Source organism: Homo sapiens, chromosome 1 (genome assembly GCF_000001405.40).
Source record: "Homo sapiens chromosome 1, GRCh38.p14 Primary Assembly".
NCBI lineage: Eukaryota > Metazoa > Chordata > Mammalia > Primates > Hominidae > Homo > Homo sapiens.
In genome coordinates, this window is record NC_000001.11 from 30,758,502 (window position 1) to 30,784,176 (window position 25,675).

A 25,675-nucleotide genomic window follows, 5' to 3' on the forward strand; every position below is an offset into this window, starting at 1 on the left:
AAGCTACGAAGAGGCGTGCAGGGCTCCAGACAAGGACGGAAGAATAACCAGGAAGCAAACCCATCAACTGTGCGCCAGGCCCTGGGCTAGGCTTCTCTTCTAGGTGGGTCAATAACTCTTCACAGCAATCTGTGAGACCCGAACCTCACTTTCAGGGCCTCAAGACCCAATCCCCATACTCACACAAAATCAGGGATTGCTTTTCCCCCTTGATCTTGCAAAAAGTTGGAATTAATAAGCCACAACTCTTAGGCAAGCTACCCTGGAATCTCTACTCCCTCCTCAGATGATAAATTATCCATATTGCAATAAAGAAAGGGAATAGGAAGTACATGCAACATTTCTGGAAGAAGCCCTGCTTCATTCCACAGCTGAGCCCCTTTGCAATGCCAAGCTTCTAGTGCAGAGCAGACAGGAACTGCCATGAAGCCCTGCCCTCCCAGGAGATCATGGAGTTAGGATTGGACACTGCTGCAGCCCATCATTTCTGCCCCAGGAGAGGTTATAGAAAGTCCCTAAGCTCCTCCCACTTGGCAGGAGTTGCTCTGTTAGACCCACAAAACTTGATTGGTGGACTTGATCAATCCATTCTCCATGTGCCAATGAGACCAAGGGGACTCTGCAAGCTTTGGGCTCCTGGGAGGCCTGGCCTATCCCTTCCCAACTTCATTTTCAAGGCTGTTCCTGTTCCTTCATAAGCCTTGCTGAGGCCTGACATCATAGAAAGGTGACACAGTGCAGTGGTTAAGAACTTTGGCTCCACAGGCCCATGGCCTGGGATCTTCTGGCTGGGTAGGCAGAAAACCAAGAGAAGTCCTCCTTTGTCTAAGAGTAGCAAGACCAGAGGAACTGGAGATCAGGAAACCAGGGGCCAGGAGGGCCCTGAGGCCATGCTGGGGAGTCTGCATTTGATTGTGCACAGAAGCCATTTGACGATTTCCTACCATAATAAATGATAGCCATTCATAACATTGTGATTTGGTGAAACCAGGACAGGTGCAAAGCCAACTCCCAAAGAGAGGGATGAAACACACTGACAGCATGTGGAATAATTGTACATGGTCTATGGGTAAACATTTCTCATTTTTTATGGTGATAAATTCATTTTAATGTGCATTATAAAAATATACATAACTAGTCCATGAATCCTGTGATTTTCCATTTATAGGAGTAATATAAAGTCTCATTTTAAAAGAAATGCATTTAAATAAAAAAGGCAGTAAGTCAATTTAAAGAACATATTAAGGAAGCCACAGCCTAGGAGGACGCAGATGTGGCAGACAGCCCTGGAGGTGGAGTAGGTGGCATCCGTTTGGGAATCCTGGGGCATGGGGAATCCCAGCTCCCCACTTAGTAGCTGTGTGGTGTCAGACAAGGCACTTGATCTCTCTGAGCTGTTGTTTTCACCTCTGCAAAACGGCGGGGCGGTTGGGGGGAACAGAAATTTGCCTGGCAGGGCTGCGGTGAAGGTGAAATGAGGTCACGTGAATGCATCTGTTTGTTTTCTCCCTTCCAGCCCGTCCCTGCTCCCCGATCTCACCCGTACTCAGGCTGCTAGGAGGAGGCAGAGCTGGGATTGAACCCCTGATCTGTCTGATTCTGAGTCCCCTCGGGCACTACCTCCCTCGCAGAAGCAGGAGTTCTGATGCAGTCATTTGTCTCTCACCGGGTCACCAGGCTCCAGCACACACTGGCCCCTTGGCAGGCACCTCAGTCACTCCCTGTGGAGTACAAGCCTGAATCACTTTATTGTCATTCCCAACAAACCCCCTGTGGAGAGGACGGCTATTATCCCAAAGGTCAGACCCTTTGGCCAAAGCCACTGTGATAGGCAGAATAGTGCCTCTCACCCCCCAAAAAAAATCCACCCTAATCTCTGGAACCTGTGCGTACATGGCCTTACATGGCAAAGAAACTTCACAGGCGCCATGAAATTCAGGATCTTGAGGTGGGTGGGGAGATTATCCTGCATTATCTGGATGGCCCTGAGGTCATCAAATGGGTCCCCATAAGTGAAGGAAGATCAGAGTCAGAGAGGGAGTGGAAGATGCCACACTCCTGGCTCTGCAGTTGGAGGAAGAACCATGAGCCAAGGAGTGCAGGCGGCATCCAGAAACTGGAAAAGGCAAGGAAATGGCTTCTCCTCTAGAGGCTCGAAAGGGAATCACTTTCATTTTAGCTCAGCGAGGCGCATTCCTGACTTCTGGCCTCCAGAACTGTAAGACAATAAATGTCTGTTGTAGTCACTGTGTTTCTGGTCTTTTATTATAGCGGCCGCAGGGAACAAATACAGCTGCTCAGTGGAAGCAACAGCTGAGCCTGGGGCCCCGTCGCTGGAGCCCAACACACTCCACCGAGACCACAGTCCCCATCTGCACAAGTGCAGCCCTTACTTCCTTGCTGTGTGACCCCAGCCAAGTCGTGAACTTCCCTGAGCCTCCGCTTCCTCCTGCGCCAAGCGGGGATAATGATAATGCCCATCTCGTTGTCTGTACATGCAGGTGGCAACACCACATAAGCTCACTATTTATATTCTGCTGTTTTCCGTTACGAATGATAAGTTTTGAGCTTCTTCAAGTTGCTTTTCATACCTTCTTTGTGGAGTGGTAGAACCCTTGAAAACTTCAGACCCTCTGAATTCATCAAGATAAGGACAAGGAAATGTTCCATGCCACCGCAGCCACGGCAGAGCAGATACAAATCTGCTTGTCAAACTGCCCTTGTCAATGTTATTTCTGACAAAGGAATCTTCTAAGACCCCCTGACTTCAGACATGGTTCCCAGATCCTAGAGAGTCATCTTTAATCCTGAAAAGGTCTGTAATTCTGGCTGGTTATCTGGCTTAATAATTTGCTGCCATGGTATATGAATATTTAAACAGACAGCTCTGTTTCCTCAAAGGCAGAATTAGTTGTAAGCTTTCTTTGTTAAGTCAGAAGAACATCACTGGAACTTCCCTCTTCACCCATAGGCCTGGAGGTAAAAATAAAACCCACGACTCTGCCAGCTTTTGTATTTAAACAAAGAGTTTGGGAGTCTTGTGTCCTTTCCATTAACCTAGATGAAGCACTTAGAAGGGGCTGGGTCACGGTAAGGACTGCACAGTGGGAAGCATTTTGATCACGATTGTCACTATGATTCTTCCTGTCCTTTAAACCCTTTCTCAGCTGAGCCTCCCCCAGCCCTAGCCAGCAGAGGAAGGCAGCAGAGAGGCACTGATCAGCTCCCGTAGACCCAAGGGGCCAGTGATCTGCTGCAAGACACACAGCTGGTCAGGAGCAGAGCCAGGACACAGGTCCTCCTTGGGGACAGCTTCGTGGGCGGCATGTGAGTGGTGGCAGCCAAGGTAGCTCCAGGGCTGTCTTCTCCCGAGGGGCTCCTGGGTGCCCCCTGCAGCTCACCCAGGCTGAAGGTCAGCTTCCTGCCAGACCACTGGCCTGTGATTCCCTTCTGGCTGCAAGCCCCACCTCACTTCTGCCTTTGAGGTTTGGGGCTGGAATGTGTAGGGCCAAAGCCAAAGGCCTGAAAAATGTGAGAAACGGCAGAGCATTCTCTCCTGTCTCCTGCCCCGAACCCAGCACGGTCACCAGGGGTCAGGGCCTACACGTGCAACCCACAGGGTCCCTCCCCTACTCCCCTGCCTGTGGAAGGGGCCCAGGCCTTGAAGTCAGCCTGGAGGGTCAGCCTGGCAAGGACAGCCCACAGGCCTGTGGCCTGGGGACAACCAGACCTTCCAATGACCAGCTGCTGAGTCCAGTGGGCAGGCAGGGGACCCCAACGGTCTGCCAGACACTCCAAGGAGGCCTCCCCTCAGCCAGGCAGTCCAGGGGTCCCTGGCTGCACCCAGGGGCACAATGACACCATATCCTAGTCTGCTGCTGCCACAGGCACTGCAGGCTGAAGGCTCCAGGGAGATGGGACCAGCAGGCAGAAGGAGCACTGGCTGCAAAGTCTGCATAGCCGAGCCAGCAGCCTCCTGCTGAATAACAGCTCTGGGCACACCCCAGGACGGAGCATTTTAGATCATGGGTGCAGCCGTACTATCCATGGGGAGCTGGAAAACCCGGCTCCCTCCTGGCCCTGGTCTCCAACCAGCCTCTGCCTCACTCTGAGCTGTAGAGTGGGGATTGTCATAGCGCATCCAGTGTGCTGCTGCAAGGACTAGGTAATTCCCTCCTAAGCACCAGCCTCTGCCAGAGCCCCCTCCTCCCTGCTGCTGACCTCATCCTCAGGAAAAACCTCAGAGATCCAGGCACCTTAAGAAGTTGGTGGCAAAATAGCACAACTGCCATCAACACCACAGTAGGAGTTACCTCATTAGGTCATTCCCCCAGCTAGGGGATTTTTATTTTAAAAAATGAAACAACAACCACTAGCAAACAACAAAAGTGATAGGCCCCACTGAGGACCAAATCTGGGGCCAGGCTTTAGATACCTAAAAAAGAAGAAGAAGAAGAAGAAGCAAGGTAGAGAACTACTACACATGGTGTGCGATTTAGTCACTTCTAGGAAAGCTGCAACTTTCTTGATTTGAAAGGGACAGACTTCATAAGCACATGTCTTCTACCCATTGTCCTAACTCCCTTCGACCTTCTGTAAATGCAGGTGCAATGCCTGGAGGCACAGAAGCCATTTGGGGACCATGAGAACAAAAACGATACCCTAATGCAGAGCGGAAAGAGAGGAAGAGCCGGGATCCCTGATGCCATCATGAAGCCTCTGCACCAGCCCTGAACCTCCTTTCTCTGTACATCTTGTAATGTGAGGGAAAAAAACCTCCCCAGGCCTTCTGACTTCATCCCTTCAACAAGAGCCTTGTTTTGTGTGCTCAGGACATAGCAGTGAACAAGGCAGACAAGGTCCCTGGTCTCATGGAGCAAACATTCTAGTAGAGGAGGCGGTGAACAAGGACACACATGAACAAGAGCATCTCAGCAAGTGACAGCTCTCCATCACTTCCTCCTGCTGCCTTCCTAGCCTGGTTTCTGGTCTTGACTGGAGCACAGAATTGCTGTGGGGCTTTGGAATGGCCACTTCCCCACTCCAACTTCTGTTTTCCTGTCTATAACATCAAAGAGGTGTCCAAATCCATGCTCTCTGAGGCCTGGCCCCTCTCAGCCAGGCCCCGGCACCAGGCAGGTTACTCCAAGCAGCTGCACCCAGAGGCTGGACCCCCTCCAAAGCGACTGGGCTGTTGCTGCCCTCAAATTCCTCGGCACTGGGTAAACAGCTAGGCAGCTCCCGTCAGCCAGCCAGGCCTCCTGACCACCCCTCTCAGGGACATCCATAAATTTTCAGCCAGCTGCAGGCTGAAGAGCCCAACTGTGACTCAGGCTCTTCCTGCCAGTGCCCGGCACAGAGCAGCCCGAAGGGCCAGGCCATGAGGGGGCCACCCCTGCTGTTCTAGGGCCACCATCCCTACTCTGGGGACCCCAGCTGTGGCTAGTCCCTGCCCAGATCAGCCACTGAGTCTTAGTACCCCTGTATGGCGTGCACACACACACACACACACACACACACACGCACACACCGCACCCATCGTGCACTCCATACATCTCAAACTGACCCCTCTGGGTGTTGGCCCCTCCAGCCTCCCCACTGCCCAGCCAGAGACCACAGCACAGCCTCCTCTCTCTCCTCACCCTCACTTCCACCTCCTCCCAATCGCCAAGCCCTGTGGATTCTGCTTCCCTCCCACCTCCCAAATCTGTCTGCCTTCCTCCACCCCTACTGCCCAGATCCAACCCCCTACGCCACCCCACACCTGAGACTTTGCTGTGGCAAAAGGCAGGGAGCAGAAAGAGAGGCCTGACCTGAACCAACCAGGCTCCAGGGGCTGCTGCCTGGGCCAGCCACACTGCTTCACCCAGCAGGGAAGGGTTTCTTTGGCCAAGGGGCTTGGAGGGCTGGGATCTATCAGGCCTGGGGCTCCGGGCCACTGTCCAACAAGTGGCTAAAGAGCAGGAGGTCTAGACCACCAACAAATTCAGAATATATATACATATATAATTTTTTTTCTTTTTTCTGAGTCAGGGTCCTGCTGTGTCACCCAGGCTGAAGTGCAATGCTGCACACAGCTCACTGTAGCCTCGGGCTCCCAGGCTTAAGCAATCCTCCCACCTCAGCCTCCCAAGTAGCTGGAACCACAGGCATGCACCACCATGCCCGGCCAACTTTTTTATCTTTTGTAGAAATGGGGGCTCACTTTGTTGACCAGGCTGGTCTCGAACTCCTGGGATAAAAGGTTCTCCCACCTCAGCCTCCCGAGGTTCTGGGATTACAGGTGTGAGCCACCGCACCTGGCTATATATGTACCTGAACAATTAAAACCTTTTGACAAACGAGGAGATCAACTAGGGCATGCATCTGACTGAAAGGTCACACTCCCCACAGAACAGCTCTGCCTCGGCTCCTGGAGCCCACTACCTGTGCTTGCTTGTGAGGATGCCCCCATTAGGACGCGTGTGTGGAGACCGTGTGGCCCCGCACACACCGGCCTTGTCATCAAGGGAACTTGGGTCTGTTCTGGCATCCTCCAGGGGAACAGTGTGAATATACTAATCTGGCAGGCGACTGCATCATTCATTTCTCCAAGCAGCGTCAGGTATGTCTTGAATGCCTGCTATGTGCCAGGCACTGTATTAGGCCCTAGAGCAGTGACCAAGACAGCCCTGGCTGCAGGGGCTGCCATCTGCTCAGGGTGCCCGCCAGATCCCAGCCCCACTCACAGAAGCCCTCCCACCACACTTCCTCCCGAGTCCAGGCTGCCTTGGGGTAGCCCCAAGGACTCCAGGTGGGGAAAGCAGAGGTCAGTAATAGTCACAACGTGAGTGACAGCATCACGAGACAAGCCGGTTAACAATGCCATCTCTTAGTCAAAGGCACAATCAAGATGACACCAGTGGGCTAAAAATAGCAAGCCCCTCTTTAGAGAGGTATCGGGTGTAGGGGAAGTCCGCAGACCCTGAGGGGACAAACCTGGCCCACATCCCGGCTTTGCCTCCGGCACGCTATGTGACCAAGAGCCAATCTCACCACCTCTCGGCAGCTCCAGTTTTCTCAACTGTAAAATGGAGGTAACAATATGTCGGCCCCTCTTGCAGAATTACTTCAAAGATTAAGCTAACAATGAGGAAGCTGGACTGAACAGGTGGTCCTCAACCTGTCACCTTTCACTTTGCCAACTATACTTCCTAAAGGCTCGTTCAGAACCAGCCCTGCCTGGCTCAAGAACTTTCAATGGCTCCCTATTGCCTGAAGAGTCATAGCCAGACAACTGAGCCTTGGAATGTTCCCACTAATCAGATGCTGCCTGTCTGTCTGAAGCTTTCCAGAGCAGCCAAGGCCTTCTTTGAAGCAGAGCCCACATGCAGCACCTCTCCCGGGTCCCACAGAGCACGGCAGCCAAGAGGGCCAAGGCCCCTGCTAGTGCACTCTCCACCACCCAAGGATGCCTTGGCCAAGAAAGCTTAGGGGTACAAGGCCTGAAGGTGTACAAGGCCTCACCAGCCTCAGCCCCACCCCACTCCCCTAAATACTGGAGGGAAATGTGGGGGTGTTTGTGGTTGGAGAAGCACGCCATTTCCCATGGTGCTATCTGATGCTGACATTTTCCACTCCACCCTCAGCTGCTTTGCTAAGCAATGTGGCTCTGTCTCCTGCCTGAGGAGGGGAGCGGAGAGGGAGCCTGCCCCAGAGGGAGTTCCCAGGAGTGGCCGAGGGTCATGGTAATGTCTGGGAACGCCGAAGGGGCAGCATCGCAGAGCACAAGTGTCACCCTGTGAATGAGGCGCTGTGTTGCCCCCGTTTTACAGACTAAGAAACTGAGGATTGCGGACTGAAGCGGTTTACTGGAAGTACATTTAGACTCTGGGCTCAGGCATGAAATCCTGTATACTTACCACCACCCCACACGACCTCCTGATGCTGCTTAGGACTGAAAAGAATTCGGAGATATGTACAAGGTATAGATCTTCTCCGTCTCCCCTCCCTCTCCATCAACCCCTCAGTGATGTGTGAGATGCTCGCATTAGCCCTTCTGCTTAGGGGTCATATAATACCCCCGCTGTCCACTTTTGAAAATTTATGTTTTAATAGATATCAAATGCACATGGTACAAAGTTGAATATATACAAAAGGATATACAGTGAAAAATAAGTACTCATCTAGCCCCTCCCAGCTACCCTGTTATTCTTACCTGGGACAAACACGATTACCTATTTTGTGGTGTTGCTTTTCAGAGATTTCTATGCATATGCAAACACATTCAAATACATACCAGCATCACAAATAGTAGTATAACTTAACCATGTTCTGAACCAGCTGTTCTTTACTGAATGTGTTCGGAGATTGTTCTATTTATTTATTTATTTATTTTAGGAAGGAGAGAGTTTTACTCTTGTTGCCATGCTGGAGTACAATGGCACAGTCTCGGCTCACTGCAACCCCCGCCTCCCGAGTTCAAGTGATTCTCCTGCCTCAGCCTCCCAAGTAGCTAGGGTTACAGGCACCCGCCACCACGCCCAGCTAATTTTTGCATTTTTAGTAGAGACAGTTTCACCATGTTGGTCAGGCTGGTCTCGAACTCCTAACCTCAGGTGATCCACCAGCCTCGGCCTCCCAAAGTACTGGGATTACAGGCATGAGCCACCGGGCCTAGCCTTCTCCATTTAATTACATAAAGAGTGTGCCCAGTCTTTATTCTGGCTGCATACTGTTCCTTTGGGTGACTATCTCATCATTAAATAAATTTTAACCCACAGACATTAGATTGTTTCCAGCCTTTTGCAATTACACACGCTACAGCAATAAGCACTATTGTACATGTATCATTTTCACATGTGTGAATACAATACATGTGGAAGTCAGCTTCCTAAAAACAGAATTACTAGGTTAAAGGGTACGATCATTCCAGTGTTTTTCAGTATCAGCGAGTTGCCCTTCACAGAGGTTGTACCAATTCATACTCCCACCAGCAAGGTGAAAGAGTGGCCACTTCCCATAGCCTCACCAACACAGTGAGGTATCAAACTTCTTAATCTTCACTAATATGATCGATAAAAAATGGTTTGCATTGCAGTTCAATTCTTTTTAGAAGGTTAAGGATATGTTCACATATTTAGGAACAATTTGTATTTCCTTTTTTAGAAACTGCCTGGATCCTTTGCCCACTATTTTTTTTCCGGTTGTTGGCCTAGTTCTTATTGATTTGCAGGTGTTTTTTAGATGTTAAGGAAATTCTTCTTTTGCCTGTAAAGTAAGTCGCAATAATCCCTGGATTTGCTTATGGGATTTTTCACCTTTTTTTTTTTTTCTCCTTTTTTGAAACAGAGTCTTGCTCTGTCGCCAGGCTGGAGTGCAGTGACACAATCTCGGCTCACTACAACCTCCGCCTCCCAGGTTCAAGCGATTCTCCTGCCTCAGCCTCCCAAGTAGCTGGGACTACAGGCACGCGCCACCAGGCCCGGCTAATTTTTGTATTTTTAGTAAAGATGGGGTTTCACCATGTTAGCCAGGCTGGTCTCAAACTCCTGATCTCAGGTGATCCACCTGCCTCGGCCTCCCAAAGTGCTGGGATTACAGGCGCGAGCCACCACACCCGGCCTTTTCACCATTTTTAAAGGGAACTTGAATGTGTTGATAATTTAATTTATAATATCTGTTAAAGTGTCTGGTTATGAAAACTCCTCCATGGTTTTTGCTAGCACTTTCATGCTGCTGCTTTTACATCAGTCCCTCTTCTGAGTCACTTGTGTGCCCCAGCTTGCACCACGTTTTGGGCCCTGACATGCTGTGTCCTCATCCTGTTTGTGTTAGTCTGCAGCGGAGGTTCAAGCAGGCAGAGGTGAGCCTGGGCACAGAAGTGAGCATCCATAGTGTTTGTCCACCGAGTGGCACAGGCCACTGTCCGGGGTTGCTGGAAGGGAAGGGCTGTGTTGTGCTGGGACGAGCACCAAGCCGGAAGTCAGCTGTTTTACTTGCTTCGTATACAGACTTACTCTCTGTGCCTCAGTTTACTCCTTTGTAAAATAAGAGAGCCTTCCGTCATGAACTTCAAAATGAGAAGTATGTACTAGCTGCACACTGAAGCCCCTTCCTACTCCTCCCTGTCTCTCCCACTTTGGAGCTATTTATTCTTTGGGAGTTCAGCCTGGGCTTTGGCAAACAGGGAAGGCTTCCAGGAGGAGGCGGGCCCTGATATGCTGAGACCTGAGTTTCTGATCCAGTCTGGGAGCCAAAGCTGTGAGGAGGAATGTGTGTTGAGCAGCAGCTCTGGACCTCACTCTCTTACCTTACCTGGTTCAATCCTCACAACAACACAACCCAGTGATCCAGCATGGCCAGATGACCTTCCGTTTTAGAGATGAGAAAACCAAGGCTCTGAGACGTTGAGCCATTTGCCCAAGATCCTAGAGCCCAGATCCTAAGTGGCAAACTGGAACTCAAATGCTGGCCTGGGATGAGCAGAAGCAGGTTCTCAGCTTCTTCAAGGGTTGGAGGGGGCTGGGGAGGTTGTGTCAGGGTGTGGGCAGCAGTTGGTGGTCAGTGACTTTCCCTTGTGGCAGGAAGGAGAGGTAGGGGAAGCAGCTGGAGTTGGGAGATAGGAGGCTGAGGCAGCAGGACCCACAGATAAGGCAGGAGGTGAGCAGGGGCGGGTGTGCACATCCCGGCAGCTGGAGTGTAGATGAAATCTCAGAGAGCCCGGCAGAAGGGCTGGACCAGGGACCACGTCACTCCCAGGCCTGACCACTCCCTGCTTCTCCAGGCCACGTCTCACCCCTGAGCCTCGCAGCAGCCGTCACGGTACTTTCCTGGGCCTGGAAACGGCAGCCCCAGCCAGGCCTCCCTCTTCTCCAGGGTCAGATACAGGGGGCAGTGTGACATGATGCGAGAGCCGGGGCTCTGTCCTTCTGCTCTGCCTCAGGCCTGCTACACCTGAAAGCAGTCAGCCAGGCCTGCAGACACTCGGGGCTTCCCAGGACCAACACGGTCCCACCATCTTGTTGTTTCACTTCGAATGTCTTCATGACAGGCACACACTTTCCAGCTCTCCACCGTCCCCGCCTCTCCCTATTGTCCCACAACTTGTCACACCCCACATTTACCTTCTCTACCTGGCCCCTAAAGAATTTCGATTTTGAGGACCTGAATTAGTTGAGCGGATGCACTGAAGGTCAAAGTTTGTAATTTTCAGGGAGAAGGAACCTTTGAGATATAAGGGCCCAGAATGAAGCAGTAACATCCCCAGAGTCCCACTGCAGAGCGAGACAGAAATGGGACTAGAACTCCTGACTCTCAGTCCAGTGCTTGCTGACCTGACTTCTGCTGCTTCCCAGAAGCCTCAGGGAGGAAAACAGAAACAACTGAAGGAAAAGAATGGAGAATTCACAGTTTGGGAGGCTGAGGCGAGAGGATCACTTGAGACCAGGAGTTCAAAACCAGCCTGGGCAACATAGCAACACCCCATCTCTACAAAAAAAAAAAAAAAATTTAAGTTAGCCAGTATGGAAGTATGCACCTGTAGACCCATCTACTCCGGAGGCTGAGGCAGGAGGATCCCTTGAGCCCAGGAGATCAAGCTTTCAGTGAGCTATACTTGCGCCACTGCACTCCAGCCTGGACGACAGAGCAAGGCCATCTCCAGAAAAAAAAAAAAAAAAAAGAATGTAGACTACAAAAGAGTGTTGTTCTGAGCACTGTGACCCAAGGCAAGTCCCTGCCCTGCCACCTCTGGGCCTCAGTTTCCCCATCCACACAGAAGGAGGCTGGCCCAACAATGGTAAGTGCTGCTGTGAGCGCCTGAGTCCACCTCTCCCTCCCAGAGGCCGAGTGGGACAAACCACACGTTCCTCAGGCCTGTTTCGCACGAGCTAATATTGACCCAACGCTGTTTCCCTTGGCCCTGCACAGGGGCTATGTTTGCTCTGGCAAGACCCCAGCCTCGCCTGCGCCCCTCTGGGCTTCAGATGTGCTGGCCCAGGCGGGAGAGGCCAGGTCAGGGGCGTGTGCCTCATAGGCTAAGGGGCAAGGCAGAAACCACAAGAGGCCCAGGACACCATCCCGGGCCCCCCTTAAAGCTTCTAGTGTATTTATATATATTTAAAAAAAAGAACTGCCCAACCTCAGTTTTAAAATCTCTGATCTTTTTTAATGTTATATTTCATAAATACACTTTTTTAACACACATCTAACATGCATGCATACACACACACACACACACACACACGATATGATAACTAAATGTTCAGCCTCATCTGCGAGTCTGGTAGAAAACTTAAAATTAGCCCCTACATTGGAGAAATGGCTGATTCCAGGGTCAGGCCAGAGAAAGAATAAGATGAGCCTAAAACATCTTTTGTGCCAGAAAATAAGGAAGAACTCAAGGAATGACAGGGACATCACTGGGGACATGAAGAAGGTCCCTCCGGTTTCTTCTGAGCATCAAAATAAATACCCACAGTAACACAGCATCACCCACTGAAAAAAATAGGGAACCGTGAGTTCTGGCTGATGTGAATTAATTAATGCATAACAGAAGTTTGGTGTGGAGTAGGCTACTCATGGTGTCTCAGAGTGCCGACCGAACAAAATCCTTTTCCATGATGAAGGGAAAAGAGTCACTCTGCAGTGGAGAAGCCAACCAAGGGAGCCAAGTGGATTTCATCAGTACCAGGGCAAATGAGAACCGTGAGCCACCTGCAGGGATGCAGGAAGAGAAGCAGCATCTCTCTGTGATCAGCCCCCTGAAGATGCTCAGCCTGATATAACCAAGAGGAGACAAACCCAACATAAGGAACGTTCTCCAAAACCGGCCTGGAATATCCAACAACGTCAAGGGCACAAAACCAAGACTCAATGAGGAGTTATTCCAGGCTAAAGAGACAGGATGACTCAATGGCTAGGACATTCCTGGAACAACAGGGGGACCTAGGATACAGTGTGAGGTTTGCTTTGGGATTTTCATATGGCATTGTGTTTGTGTAAGAGAATGTCCTTGTTAGTAGGAAATAGACACAAGTATTCAGCAGGGATAGAGCATGATGACAGCAACTTAGTCTCAGATGGCCAGGGAGAAAAATAGCTTTCCCTACTGTACTTGCGATGTCCTTATATGTTTGAGATTGTTAAAAAATCAGAAAGGAGATGGGGACTTCAGAAATGTCAGGTCAGAGCCAAGATGGTCAGGCAGGAGGCAGGAAGAAGGAGCCTGCCTTGAAACATATCCCTCACTTTTTTTTTTCCTTTGGAGACAAGGTCTCGCTCTGTCACCCAGGCTGGAGTGCAGTGGTGCAATCACAGCTAACTGCAACCTTTTCCCTCACTTTTTTTTTTCCCCTTTGGAGACAGGGTCTCACTCTGTCACCCAGACTGGAGTGCAGTGGTGCGATCACAGCTCACTGCAACCTTGGCTTCTTGGGCTCAAGCAGTCCTCCTGCCTCAGCCTCCTGAGTAGCTGGAACTACAGGCATGAACCACCATGCCCAGTTAATTATTTTATTTTTTGTAGAGATGGGGGTCTCACTATGTTGCCCAGGCTGGTCTCAAACTCCTGGGCTCAAATGATCCTCCCACTTCGGCCTCCCAAAGTGCTGGGATTACAGGTGTGAGCCAGTGTGCCTGGCTAATTATTTTATTTTTTGTAGAGATGGAGTCTCACTATGTTGCCCAGGCTGGTCTCAAACTCCTGGCCTCCAGTGATCCTCCTGCCTCAGCCTCCCAAAGTGCTAGGATTGCAGGCATGAGTCACTGTACCTGACCCGTCCTTCTCCTTTCAAAGCACCCCAGCGAAGAGATGACAAATAGATGTTAACAGGGGACAAGCCCTTCCTGAGCCACATGGGAGCAGAGCAGCCAGGCCCTAGTAGCTCCCTGCTCTGATGTTTCTCTCCTCCTCCCTCAGGCTCTCTGAGGCTTCCCGGGGGTTCCGGGCTGCAACACCAGACAAAGGCGGCATGCTGAGTTCCAGTCCTCACTCTGCCTCAACTTGCTGCATCCACTTGGGTAATTTCTTCCCTGCTCTGGGCCTCCGTCCCAATCTGTTCAAAGGGACATCATGATGTTCTCACTAGTTGCTTTCTGCTGAGCTGGAGGCCAAGGACTCAGACTCGGTTTGACTGGTTCTGCCTCTGACCTGCTGGGAGACCTGGAGCAGGTCACTTAACCTCTCTGTGTTTGCTTTATCAGGATAATCTGTTGAAGTATTCACCAATGCCTCTCTCTCCAGAATTTCCTGTTGCCCCTCCCTCCCTGCCCCCTGCCCTTAGTCCCCACATCTGGGCAGCTGAGCAGGACACAGAAGAATATAGGCACAGCAGTCAGAGCACCTGGTTTTCCATGTTTCAAGAGCCCACGCTCTGAATAGTATAGAAAATTTAGAAGCTCACGCGATGAACCAGAAATGTCCTCCCCACCCTTGAGACCAGGTAGAAGGTGAGGAACAGAGGAGAAAGCTGGGGTTGGGGGTTCCCTGCAACCCCCTGGAAGTGACAGTTCTCCCAGGCCCAGGGAAAGACAGCAAACGGTGAGAGCAGAGCCCAGGGCATGGCCAGAGCCACCCCATGGAGAAGTGCAGGAGCTGCCTGGCAGGCAACAGGGCAAGAGAGCTCTCTCAGAGGGGCAGATGCAGCTGGATGCTGCCCCTCTACCCACAGTAACACAGACCCGGCACTGACGTGGTGGCTCTCACAGTGGCACGGACCCGGCACTGACGTGGTGGCTCTCACAGTGGCACGGACCCGGCACTGACGTGGTGGCTCTCACAGTGGCACGGACCCGGCACTGACGTGGTGGCTCTCACAGTGGCACGGACCCGGCACTGACGTGGTGGCTCTCACAGTGGCACGGACCCGGCACTGACGTGGTGGCTCTCACAGTGGCACGGACCCGGCACTGACGTGGTGGCTCTCACAGTGGCACGGACCCGGCACTGACGTGGTGGCTTTCACAGTGGCATGAACATGGCGTTGATGTGGAGGCTCTGAAGGCACACTGGTCAGGAACGAGGAAGGACTCTGCAGTTTCCTGCAAAGTCTAGACAAGAATGCAAGGCAAGGCACAGGAGCCCATGCCTGGAATCCCAGCACTTTGGAAGGCCGAGGTGGACAGATTGCTTGAGACCAGCCTGGGCAACATGGCAAAAGCCCATCTCTACAAAAAAAAATTAAAAATTAGCCAGGCGTGGTGGTGCATGGCTGTAGTCCCAGCTACTCGGGAGGCTGAGGTGAGAGGATCACTTGAGCCCAGGAGGTCGAGGCTGCAGTGAACCATGTAAGCACCACTGCACTCCAGGCTGGGTGACAGACAGAGTGAGACCCCCATCAAGGAAAGGAAAGGAGAGGAGAGGAGAGAAGAGGAGAGGAAAGGAGAGGAGAGGAGAGGCAAACATCACAGGGGAAGCTGAGAGGGGACAATGCTAAGAATCTAATGTGTCCCTCCCCACCGGTGTCTCAGCGCCACATAAACCCCCACACCCTAGACAAGCCTGGGCAGGGGCCAGTGGGAACCATGATGTCTAGATGTGGGGCTTCCATCGCTTAATGGAATGAGGATCTAAAATAGAAACAAAGGTCAGTTCAGGAAGCAGAGGCAGGGTGCTTTCCCCATGCATCTGAATCTGTGAATGGAGACCGCTCCCCAGCTCATGGTTGGCATGGGAACAGGACCGGTGCATGCTGGAGAGGTCCTATGGCTTAACTCTGAGTTCAGTGGCCTCATGGGCCTCCATGGAAGTGTGAGAATTGACAAATACTACGAATCAGTAGTTGTTGTGTTTGAGGTTGGTTGGTTGCTTTGTTTTTTTAGAGAGCCTGTTTACCAGCATACTCCTGAATGGAATCCACCTGCTAGGGTTGCCATGGACATAAAGTGCAGGTGTGTGAGGCGTTTGACCCCCGATATAACTGGTATAACTTTTGCAAAGCTGGTTTCCGCAGCTGCCCCTGCGGTCGTCCTGACTGAAAGACAGTGGACAGGGGAGTCTGCCCTGATGGGAGCCTTGTCCCTTCCCCTCTGACTGCTGGGAGCAGGGGGATCTTTTGGCTCCATGGGTCACCAAAGCTGTTCCATGTGAGGGACACCCCTGCCCCATGCCCTGAGCAGGCATGGACTTGAGGGTGCTTCACTCACTAGAGGACTGGAAAAGACCCAGGCCCGCCCCGAGGGGGCAGTGGGACCTTCTCCGACCCTCCCAGGTGAGCTGGGACCCCGGCCTCTGGGGAGGATCTTGGAGAGAGCAAGCAGCTGAGCATGAGCCTCTGGTTGGGGGGCAACGCAGTGGGAAAGAGGGGGCGGGACCCCCGGGCCCCCAGACACTCAACCAGAGCCAACCTTGAATGCGCTGAAGCACTTCTCAGTGGAAAAATGGCAGGGCAGCTTTGCCGGTGCTGGGCTGTGTGCCCGTGGTAGGCCGGCAGGGACATGGTCTTCTCCTGGTCTCCGGCTGTACCGCATGCCCTGACACACGAGGGGAGGCCTCCCAGAAGGGTGACATTGGGATTGCTATGTTTATCTTATTTTTATTTTTCTTCAGTTCAGGATGCCCCTGCCTGGCCCAGAAACCACACTGCCATGAATGGGTCAGGACATTTTACCATCCTGTGCCTACTCCACCCAGCCTGGGGTGAGGGAATGGGGGGCAGATGCCAGATTCTGGCCACTGACCAGCCACAGAGCCCAGCAGGGCCATAAACAAGGCTGGGTGGGGTTTCCAGGCCCACTCGGTGGGGCTCGTTTACTTGGACGAGGGCAGGGCAGAGAGCACCGACCAGAGTGCCTCAAAATAACTCACGTGGCCTGGCCGGGAGCCAATCCCTCCATGGAAAATTTAAATGAATTCTTCACAGCTGCAAGGCCCAGGCCCCCAGACGGCCCACCCAGAATCACCAGATTACCGTGGCTCTGATGGTTCCAGAAACCCAAGAATGTTCTGGAAGCCCAAGGAAGCCATAGTCGGTCTCTGGGCTTCCTCACACAACCAGAGGTCATGATACACTCAGAAAAGGATTATCCAGTCACCAACTGCTCAGCCCTTCAGGACGCTGGTGCCAGAAGGGCCCGTGCCTGCCAGGCTGGTCCTCGTGGACATAGGGCTCTGGACGAAGGGTTGGCCCGGCTTTCACTTAGCCCCCCAGGAGACGCTTCTGGGAGCATACTCCCCTCCTTATCTGGGGACACTGAGGCTCAGTCAGCTCCTCCTGCGAGGAAACAGACAGGTAGCAGCCAGTGCTGACCACCAGGCCATCCCATCCCCGTGCCAGTGCCTGAGCCACAGTGACTGGGTGAGGCTGCAGATGTGTGGTGAGGAGAGCAACTGGGGAGCGGGGAGGGGAGCTGAACTGAGGAGGGAGGGAGGGAGTCTGAGGGAAGGAGTGAGAATGGACCCCAAGGAGCATGAGGCCAGCAGCAAAGGGTTAAAGAAATGCACTCTCGGCCTGGCACAGTGGCTCACGCCTGTAATCCTAGCACTTTGGGAGGCCAAGGTGGGTGGATCACTTGAGGTCAGGAGTTCAAGACCAGCCTGGCCAACATGGTGACACCCCATCTCTACTAAAAATACAAAAAATTAGCCAGGCGTGGTGGTGCATGTCCCTCCCAGCTACTCGGGAGGCTGAGGCACGAGAATCAATTGAACCTGGGAGGCAGAGATTGCAGGGAGCCGAGATCACGCCACCCGTGCTCCAGCATGACAGAGTGAGACTCCAAAGAAAGGAAAGAGGGGAAAGGAAAGGAAAGGAAAGGAAAGGAAAGGAAAGGAAAGGAAAGGAAAGGAAAGGAAAGGAAAGGAAAGGAAAGGAAAGGAAAGGAAAGGAAAGGAAAGGAAAGGAAAGCGGAAAGGAAAGGAAAGGGGAAAGGAAAGGAAAGGGGAAAGGAAAGGAAAGGAAAGGAAAGGAAAGGAAAGGAAAGGAAAGGAAAAGGGAAAGGAAAGGGGAAAGGAAAGGGGAAAGAATGGGGAAAGAAAAGGGGAAAGAAAAGGGAAAGGAAAGGAAAGTCATGGGGACCCAGGGGCAGCCAGCAAGGCTGGACAGAGGAGACCGGCCCTGACCTAGGAAAGGGGGGTCAGGGCCTAGAAACAGCACAGGCCAAGGTAAGAGGCAGAAATGATGACACCCTACACACAGCCCTGCAGACCACGGGGAATGCAATGTCCAGTGTCTCATCTCACATCAAAAAGGCCACCCCTGAGCCACTTGGTGGGAAAGAAGAGGCCGAGCTGGGGCTGGAGTCCTCGTCCCTGGTCCTCAACCCCATGCCCTTTCCATGAGCCGAGGCTGCCTGCTGAGAGGCCTGGAGGAGTCCGGAGCAGGCCCAGGGATCTCACTGCCCCCTGCACTCTGCATTTGGTCATATCATGTGGGTGGGGGCCTCGGATGGGAAGGGGCTGTGCCTTGGGAATTTTCTTGTCCCCAGACTCCTCAGGGAGGAAAGAGCCTGGGGCCTTTGGAGGAACTTGGGCTTCGGAGTCAGACCCATGGAGTCGGACTCCAGGCCACGCCTCAGTTTGCTAAAGGCCATGACCAACTCTGCTCTTGCCCGCCGCATGCCAGCATTTCATTTAATGGTCCAAACATCCCATGAGGACATATGGCCATCATTCCCGCTTTACTCATGAGGGGACTGACACGCAGAGGTTAAGCAATTTGCCCAAGGTCACGCAGCTATTCCGTGGCCGATCCAGGAGCTCAGCCCAGGATGCCTGACACCAGAGTTGTCACCCAATGCTTCCATTTCCAGGCCACCTTGAGCAAGTCACTGAACCACCCCAGGCCTCTGTTTCCTCACAGCCACAGTGACTCCCACCTCGCGGAGTTGAGGAGGAGTCAGTGAATTAATGGCTGAGTGCGTGGCTCGTGGCAGCCACCTTGCCTGTTTTCAGCCAGGCCACAGACTGACCCCAAAACCCCATCCCCCTAATCTTTCTCAGGGGCCCTGGCACCCAGGACAAGGTCCCAGCCCCTCTTGGCCCAGCAGAGCGAGGGACCAGGAGAACTGAGGCCACTCTGGGGCCCAGGGCAGGGCAGGGGCCGGGCGGCCACGGGAACACAGGTCCACTTCACCCTCCTGCTCAGCAGGGCTGGATTCTCCCTGTCTCCTGGGGCCCACTGGGAACTTGGGGTTTTCCTGCATCTGATTAGCATAAATTAGCAGCTGTCAGCAAGAGGGAGTAATGTAGCCTTTCAACGGCCCCGTCTTGTTTTTGGAAACCTTATCGAGTTCTGCTGAGGGCTCGCCTTGTTCACTGGCCACTGGATGGCTGACTGGTGTTTGTGTACCCAGCAGAGGCCCACCACCGCCCCTGGTGAGCCCCCGGCCCCCAGCCTCAGCTCCAAGGATAACACGGAGGGAAGGAGCCTGGTGCGGGTGGTAGCGGGATGAGGGGGGATCCAGCCAGACTCCCCGCCCTCCTCCCACTTCACACCTCTCACCCGAGGTCCCTCCACACTGAGAGAGCCCTCTGTGCAGGCTGGTGGGGCGGAAGGGCCCAATGGCCACCTCCAGTTTTCCCGGCAGGGGGAGCAGTGGCCATTGGAGCTTCCTAGGCTGGGGCTACGTCCACAGAGAACTTTCAACTGGACAGCACCAACCTGGTTCCTTGGGGATAAGGCTGGTCTGCCCTGATTTTCCAAGGAAAGGGAAGAACATCTATTCCACAAGGCCTACTGTGTGCCGAGCCCAGGAAGGGGTGACTTCTTTGTCATCCAAGAATACCACGGGTGCTGGAGGGAACAGGGTTTGTCTGCCAGGCAGCCCTTCCCTTCTGCTTCTGATAATGCCACAGCCTTCCTCCAGGTGAACTAGAGCCTGTGCTCTGGAACCAGAATGGGTTCAAATCCCACCACTCACCAGCTGTGTGCCTCTCTGCCTCAGTTGCCTCACCTGTAGAATGGGACCCTGGTTGTGAGAATTAAATGAATTTGTGCGTTCAATGTGCTGAGAACAACACTGGCACATGGTAAGTGATGCGTTAGCTATGACTGATTGCCCTGGCCCCACTCCAAGTGCTTCTGGTGAGGCTGCTTATCCAGACTCCCCACTCCCAACCACAGGGGCAGACATGTAACCTAGATCAGCCAGTTAGGATGCCTCATCTCCAACTGGCCACAGTGATTGGCCCAGGAATAGATAAGCCTAGCCAATCAGACTCTTTCCCTGTGATTTAATATTTGGCTGTGAGTAGAGAAGCTCTCTCTTTCCCGAGGGTGAAAAGCTGGAAAGATGTAAGCCCAACGCTCTCTGTGGCCCTGCCTTCCTTTCTTCACCCACCACATCAAGGAAGCAAGCCTGCAGTAGGAGAAAGTGAGGCCACCAACCCAGAGATGAGCAGAGCCCAGAGAGGTGGAGAGGCGACTGAGAAACCAAGAATAAATGATAGAGAAGGATAACCCCGTTATTTCCATCCCTGAAACCGGCTGTGCCTGGGACTTCCCTTTGACCCAAGACGTTTCCTTTCACTGTTAAAATCCGGAATCATCCAAAGTTGATTATCTCTATTGTACATATGAGAAAACTGAGGCTCGGGGAGGTGGAGTGATCAGCCCTTGGGGACAGAACTAGTAGGTGGTGGAGCCAAAGGCAGGCGGCCTGGCCGCAGAGTCCAAGGAGGAAGGGGGAGGCAAGCAGCTCTGCCTCTTCGTCTCCCTGTCCCTCCCCAGACCACACATTAGCCTTTGTTTGAATGGTCACCTGGAGGAGAAGGAGAAGCTGGGTTTGAATTCCAGCTCTGTTGTTTTCTGGCTATGTGAGCTTTGAGCAACTCACTTCTCTTCTCCGAGCCCAGTTTCCTCGTCTGTAACATGGGAATAATATTCCTTATTTCACTATGTTGGCATAAAATAAAATGTCCCATTGGAAGCACCCAGCATATAATTAGCACCCAGTACATAATTAGCACCCAGTAAATGCTCATTTTTCCATTCCCCAAAACAGCAGCATCATCTCAACCTTCCAGGAAGCCAAAATGCCTGACTTGCAGGGCTATCGATAGATCCTCAAGGCAGCAGTGGTAGCCCCCATTTCAGAGACGGGAAACAGGCTCCGAGTGGTTCAACCACACACCCAAGGTCACAAGGCTTGTTAATGGGACCTCTCCCACTTCTATCAAGTTGCCTGAGTCCCTGCTGCAGGGTTCTCTGCAGTCAGAGGCTGGGAACTGGGTTGGCGGTGAGGAGGGTAAAATGGGGATAGAGTAAGTGGTTTGGACTGAGGGACTCTGAGCCCTCCGCTCTGCCCTCCCCACCCTCAAGCCCAGGCTAGACTCCGGGTCAAGGGCGCCCCCTGCTGGCCATCTGGGGAACTCCATCCCAGGCACCTAATAAATCCCAGAGAAGGCACCACACGGGCAGGGCAGGAGCTTAGAGCTCAGACTCCCTGTTACTTAGGGCAGCGACTCTACCTCCCTGAAGCTCGGTTTTCTCGTCTGCCAAATGGGGATAATAATAATATGATAAATGAAATAATGCCACAAAGTGCCTGGCACAATGCTCAGACACCACTCCACCTCCATCAGGACGGCTTTTTTTTTTTTTTTCTAAGGCAGGATCTCAGTCACTCTGTTGCTCAGGCTGGAGTGCAGTGGTGTGATCACAGCGCACTGCAGCCTCAACCTCCCAGGCTCAAGCAATCCTCCCACCTCAGTGTCCCCAGTAGCTGGGACTACAGGCGTGCACCACCACACCCAGCTAACTTTTTTTTTTTTTTTTTTGGTAGATACAGGGTCTCACTATGTTACCCAGGCTGTTCTCAAACTCCTGAGCTTAAGTGATCCTCCTGCCTCAGCCTCCCAAATCGCTGAGATTATGGGCATGAGCCACTGCACCTGGCCATCTGTTATTTTTTTTTTTAAGACAGAAAATAGCAAGTGTTAGTGAGAACGTGGAGAAATTGGAACCCTTGTACATTGCTAGCAAGACTGTAAGATGGTAGAGCCACCGTGGGAGTACAATATGGCAGTCCTTCAAAAATTAAACATGGAATTATCACATGACCTGGGAATTCTACTTCTGTGGATGCACCCAAGAGAACTGAAACGGGAACTTGAACAGATATTTGTTCAACCCCAATGTTCATAGCAGCATTATTCACATAGTCAAAAGGAGGAAGCAACCCAAGTGGCCATCCATGGATGAATGGATAAACAAAATGTGACCAAGGCACACGATGGTATATTATTCAGCCTGAAAAATGAAGGAAATTCTGACGCATGCTACAACGTGGGTGAACCTTGAGGACATTATGCTGAGTGAAATCAGCCAGACTCAAAAGGAGGAGCCTATTATATAATCCTGCCTATATGAGATACCTACAGTAGTCAAGTTCATAGTGACAGAAGGTAGAATGGAGGTTGCCAGAGGCAGAGAGGAGGGAAGAAATGGGGGTTATTGTTTGATGGGCACAGAGTTTGAGTTTGGGAAGATGACAAAGCTCTGGAGATGGACGGTGGTGATGGCTGCACAGCACTGTGAGTGTAGTGAATGCCACTGAACTGTACACTTAAAATTGTTAAAATGATAGATTTTATGTTATGTATCTGTGCTATAGTTTCAACATTTGTCCCCTCCAAAACTCATGTTGAAGTTTAATCTCCAATGTGGCAATATTGAGAGGTGAGAGGTGGTCTTCTTCTTTTTTTTTTTTTTTTTTTTTTTTTGAGATGGAGTCTTGCTCTGTCGCTCAGGCTGGAGTGGAGTGGAGTGGAGTGGTATGATCTCGGCCCACTGCAACCTCCACAGTGGAGTGGAGTAGAGTGAAGTGGAGTGGCACGATCTCGGCTCACTGCAACCTCCACAGTGGAGTGGAGTGGAGTGGAGTGGAGTGGAGTGGAGTGGCACAGTCTTGGCTCACTGCAACCTCCACCTCCCAGATTCAAGCTATTCTCCTGCCTCAGCTTTCCAAGAAGATGGGATTAGAGGTGCCCGTCACCATGCCCGGCTAATTTTTGTATTTTTAGCAGAGACAGGGTTTCACCATGTTGGCCAGGCTGGTCTCAAACTCCTGACCTCAGGTGATCTGCCCACCTTGGCCTCCCAAAGTGCTGGGATTACAGGCGTGAGGCACCAGGCCTGGCCTGAGAGGTGGTCCTTTAAGAGGTGATTGGGTCATGAAGGCTCTGCCCTCATGAATGGTTTAATCTATTCATGGATTCATGGATTAATGGGTTAATGGTTAATTGATTATCATGGGACTGGCGGCTTTATAAGAAGAGGAAGAGAGACCCGGGCCAGCACCTCAGCCCCCTCACCATGTGATATCCTGTGTGGCCTCTGGACTCTGCAGAGTCCCCACCAGCAAGGAGGTCCTCACCAGATGCGGCCCCTCAACCTTGGACTTCACAGGCTCCAGAACCGTATAAAATAAATTCCTTGTCTTTGTAAACTACCCAGTTTCAGGTATTCTGTTACAAGCAACAGAAATGGACGAATACGTTACCACAATTTCTGAAATAAGGACAAATAAAAGAGCATTTGAGCTAAGACCTAAAGGATGGACATTCCTCCCAAGAAGAAGGTATTCTGGGCAGAGGGGACAGTGTGAGTCTCGGCTGGGAGGCCGGAGGCCCTGGGATGTCCCAGGAAGGGGCAGGCGCTGAGGCCGGAAAGGTTGGGAGTGGCCCAATCACGAGGCCGCCTGAGACTCAGTCTCTTCATCCACCATGTGGGGATGCTGCCACTCACCTCACAGAGACAAGGTACCCCATCAGCTCATCAGACGGGGGTCTGCGAAACAGGAGAAAAAAATCCCAGCCAGGGCCTTAGTTTCTCTGAGGTACAGATGTTGGTGATGTTGGTGGCAGGTATACATTTGGGGGCCATAAAGCTTCCCAGAACTATAGCAACCCCACCTCCACCCATCCCCGAAAAGGAAAGAAAATTGCTACCCCTACAGCCCTTGCGGGCCGCCCCCCGCCCCCAACCCCGACCACCCCCAACCCCGACCACCCCCACCAGCCCAGCAGAGAACTTAGCGACCAGGGCCCGGATGGAGCAGTGTTCCTGAGTAGCCACCAGAGGGCGCACTGTACCCGCCAACTCAGCGTGTCTCCCGCCCTGGAGAGGGGAGACGGACAGGGAGGAAGGGCTACTGTCGTCCTGGGACACATTCCTGGGCAGGGGGCTTCCAGGTCCTGTTGAAAGCTGTCCTTGGGCAGAGGACATCCTGAGCCATGGATTCACAGCCACGGAGATATCCGAGTTGGAAGGGGTTTAGGATGGGGACCCTTTTATGGGGACCCTTTTACAGAGATGAGGCCCAGAGAGCAGAAGCCAGCTGTCTAGCGTCACACAACGGGTCAGGGCAAAGCAGGGGCTGGAACCCGAGACTCTCATACCCCTGCACACACCTGCTCCTGCTCTCCAGGCCCCGGACAGCTGGGCCCAGATGGAAACCAGGGGGCAAGGCAAAATGGAACTGTGGAAGGGGCTCCAGCATCTCCGCCATCCCCTGTTCTCCCAAGATGCTGAGCCACAGGGAAACTGAGGCATGGAGCGACAAAGAGGCAGAGGTTGTCTGCATCCCTCCTGAGCAGGTCAGGGCCCCATGCGGGTCCCAGGGAGCCCCTCTGCTCTCCCTGGAGCCAGGTTTGGGTACAGCAGCTGTGACTAGCCAACCAGGCTGGGCCACTGTGGCTGAAGGCTCAAAGTCCAGCAGGGAGCCATTGATCAGTCCGGGACTTCTGTTGGGAGGGTGCCGGCAAACTATCTGATGGGTCCCCAGGGCCTCCCCTGGAGGAAGTGGGGACTTGAGCAGGAGGTGTCCGGGGGCTCCTGGGCTTTGGCAGGGCCTCCCTCCCCTCCACCGCCTCCCTCTTCAAATCGCAGCTGGAAACAGCACCTCCCCTGTTGGGTACAAGAACCTTCACAGGGGCCTTGACCTTCTATGACTCTACCCCACGGAAATCAGCAGAAGCAGACGGAGATGGCCCCTGAAGCACTTTGGTGTGTAATGTCATTTAATCCTCAGAATGACCCCATGGCATAGAATATGATTCGTTCATCCAATTTTGCAGCTGGGAAACCTGAAGCCAGGACGAAGAAGGCAATTGCTTGGCAGCAGCACTCCAGAAACACCATGTGCCATGCAGAGTCCACGGCTCAGCCGCCGCAGCCCCTGTGCGCGCTGTCTCATTTAATCCCCCCAGCCACTCTGTCAGGCAGGTAGGGTGAAGGCCCAGCGTTAAAGATGAGGAAAATGAGGCAACGAGAACAAATTGCCCTGTTGCTCAAGCTCTCTTGGCTTCCTGTGACCTCCCAGACCTTGGGTGACAGAGGCACATTAAGGAAGTCCCTCAACTCTCCGGCGGGGGTGGAGCCTCTGCAGGGGGCGTGGAACCAGTAGCAGGACCACAGTAGCCAGGCAGGGACATGGATCCCCCACCCCCAACACCTCCCCTAGCTGCCCCTCCATTGCCTTACCCAGCTCTTGAGGCTGGAAGGCTCATAGCTCTTTTCCTGACTACCTTCCACCCATGAGTAGCCAGGCGCGTGTTCTAGCCCAAGAGATCTAGGTGGGAGTCAATGAGGAAGGGCTTCACTTCCCAAATTTTATTTTTGTTTATTTTATTTTATTTTTTCGAGAAGGAGTCTCGCTCTGTCACCCAGGCTGGAGAATAGTGGTGCCATCTCAGCTCACTGCAACCTCCGCCTCCCAGGTTCAAGCTATTCTTCCTGCCTCAGCTGGGACTACA

At 52.6% G+C, this 25,675-nt stretch overlaps 1 long non-coding RNA gene across 2 annotated transcripts, besides 8 other annotated features; it reads right to left on the reverse strand.

The window, feature by feature from the left end:
- Window positions 353-422: an enhancer, noted in NCBI's record as "active region_631". NCBI's record gives its function as "activates an Ori minimal core promoter by ATAC-STARR-seq in GM12878 lymphoblastoid cells {active_cell/tissue: GM12878}" and the evidence as "EXISTENCE:reporter gene assay evidence [ECO:0000049][PMID:35858748]".
- Window positions 6,829-7,088: an enhancer, noted in NCBI's record as "active region_632". NCBI's record gives its function as "activates an Ori minimal core promoter by ATAC-STARR-seq in GM12878 lymphoblastoid cells {active_cell/tissue: GM12878}" and the evidence as "EXISTENCE:reporter gene assay evidence [ECO:0000049][PMID:35858748]".
- Window positions 8,081-8,375: a silencer, noted in NCBI's record as "tiled region #12480; HepG2 Repressive non-DNase unmatched - State 23:Low". NCBI's record gives its function as "represses a minimal TATA promoter and a strong SV40 promoter by Sharpr-MPRA in HepG2 cells {active_cell/tissue: HepG2}" and the evidence as "EXISTENCE:reporter gene assay evidence [ECO:0000049][PMID:27701403]".
- Window positions 14,835-15,335: an enhancer, noted in NCBI's record as "H3K4me1 hESC enhancer chr1:31246183-31246683 (GRCh37/hg19 assembly coordinates)". NCBI's record gives its function as "activates a minimal SCP1, AML or CMV promoter by ChIP-STARR-seq in primed H9 embryonic stem cells {active_cell/tissue: H9 hESC(primed)}" and the evidence as "EXISTENCE:reporter gene assay evidence [ECO:0000049][PMID:30033119]".
- Window positions 16,578-23,850, reverse strand: LOC105378621 (uncharacterized). Of its 2 annotated transcripts, none has more exons than XR_947134.2 (3): window positions 23,667-23,850; window positions 23,234-23,386; window positions 16,578-17,192 (listed from the first exon to the last, which is right to left on the reverse strand). It is a non-coding gene; the product is annotated as an uncharacterized LOC105378621 (long non-coding RNA). The 2 variants fall into 2 exon arrangements; XR_947133.2 differs by having other exon boundaries at window positions 23,234-23,429.
- Window positions 18,980-19,645: a transcriptional cis regulatory region, noted in NCBI's record as "candidate enhancer chr1.4289 targeted for multiplex CRISPR interference". NCBI's record gives its function as "positively regulates LAPTM5 gene expression with high confidence in K562 cells {active_cell/tissue: K562}" and the evidence as "EXISTENCE:mutant phenotype evidence [ECO:0000015][PMID:30612741]".
- Window positions 20,959-21,483: a transcriptional cis regulatory region, noted in NCBI's record as "candidate enhancer chr1.4291 targeted for multiplex CRISPR interference". NCBI's record gives its function as "positively regulates MATN1 gene expression with high confidence in K562 cells {active_cell/tissue: K562}" and the evidence as "EXISTENCE:mutant phenotype evidence [ECO:0000015][PMID:30612741]".
- Window positions 20,982-21,171: an enhancer, noted in NCBI's record as "active region_633". NCBI's record gives its function as "activates an Ori minimal core promoter by ATAC-STARR-seq in GM12878 lymphoblastoid cells {active_cell/tissue: GM12878}" and the evidence as "EXISTENCE:reporter gene assay evidence [ECO:0000049][PMID:35858748]".
- Window positions 21,282-21,361: an enhancer, noted in NCBI's record as "active region_634". NCBI's record gives its function as "activates an Ori minimal core promoter by ATAC-STARR-seq in GM12878 lymphoblastoid cells {active_cell/tissue: GM12878}" and the evidence as "EXISTENCE:reporter gene assay evidence [ECO:0000049][PMID:35858748]".
- Window positions 23,851-25,675: the final 1,825 nt, after the last annotated feature.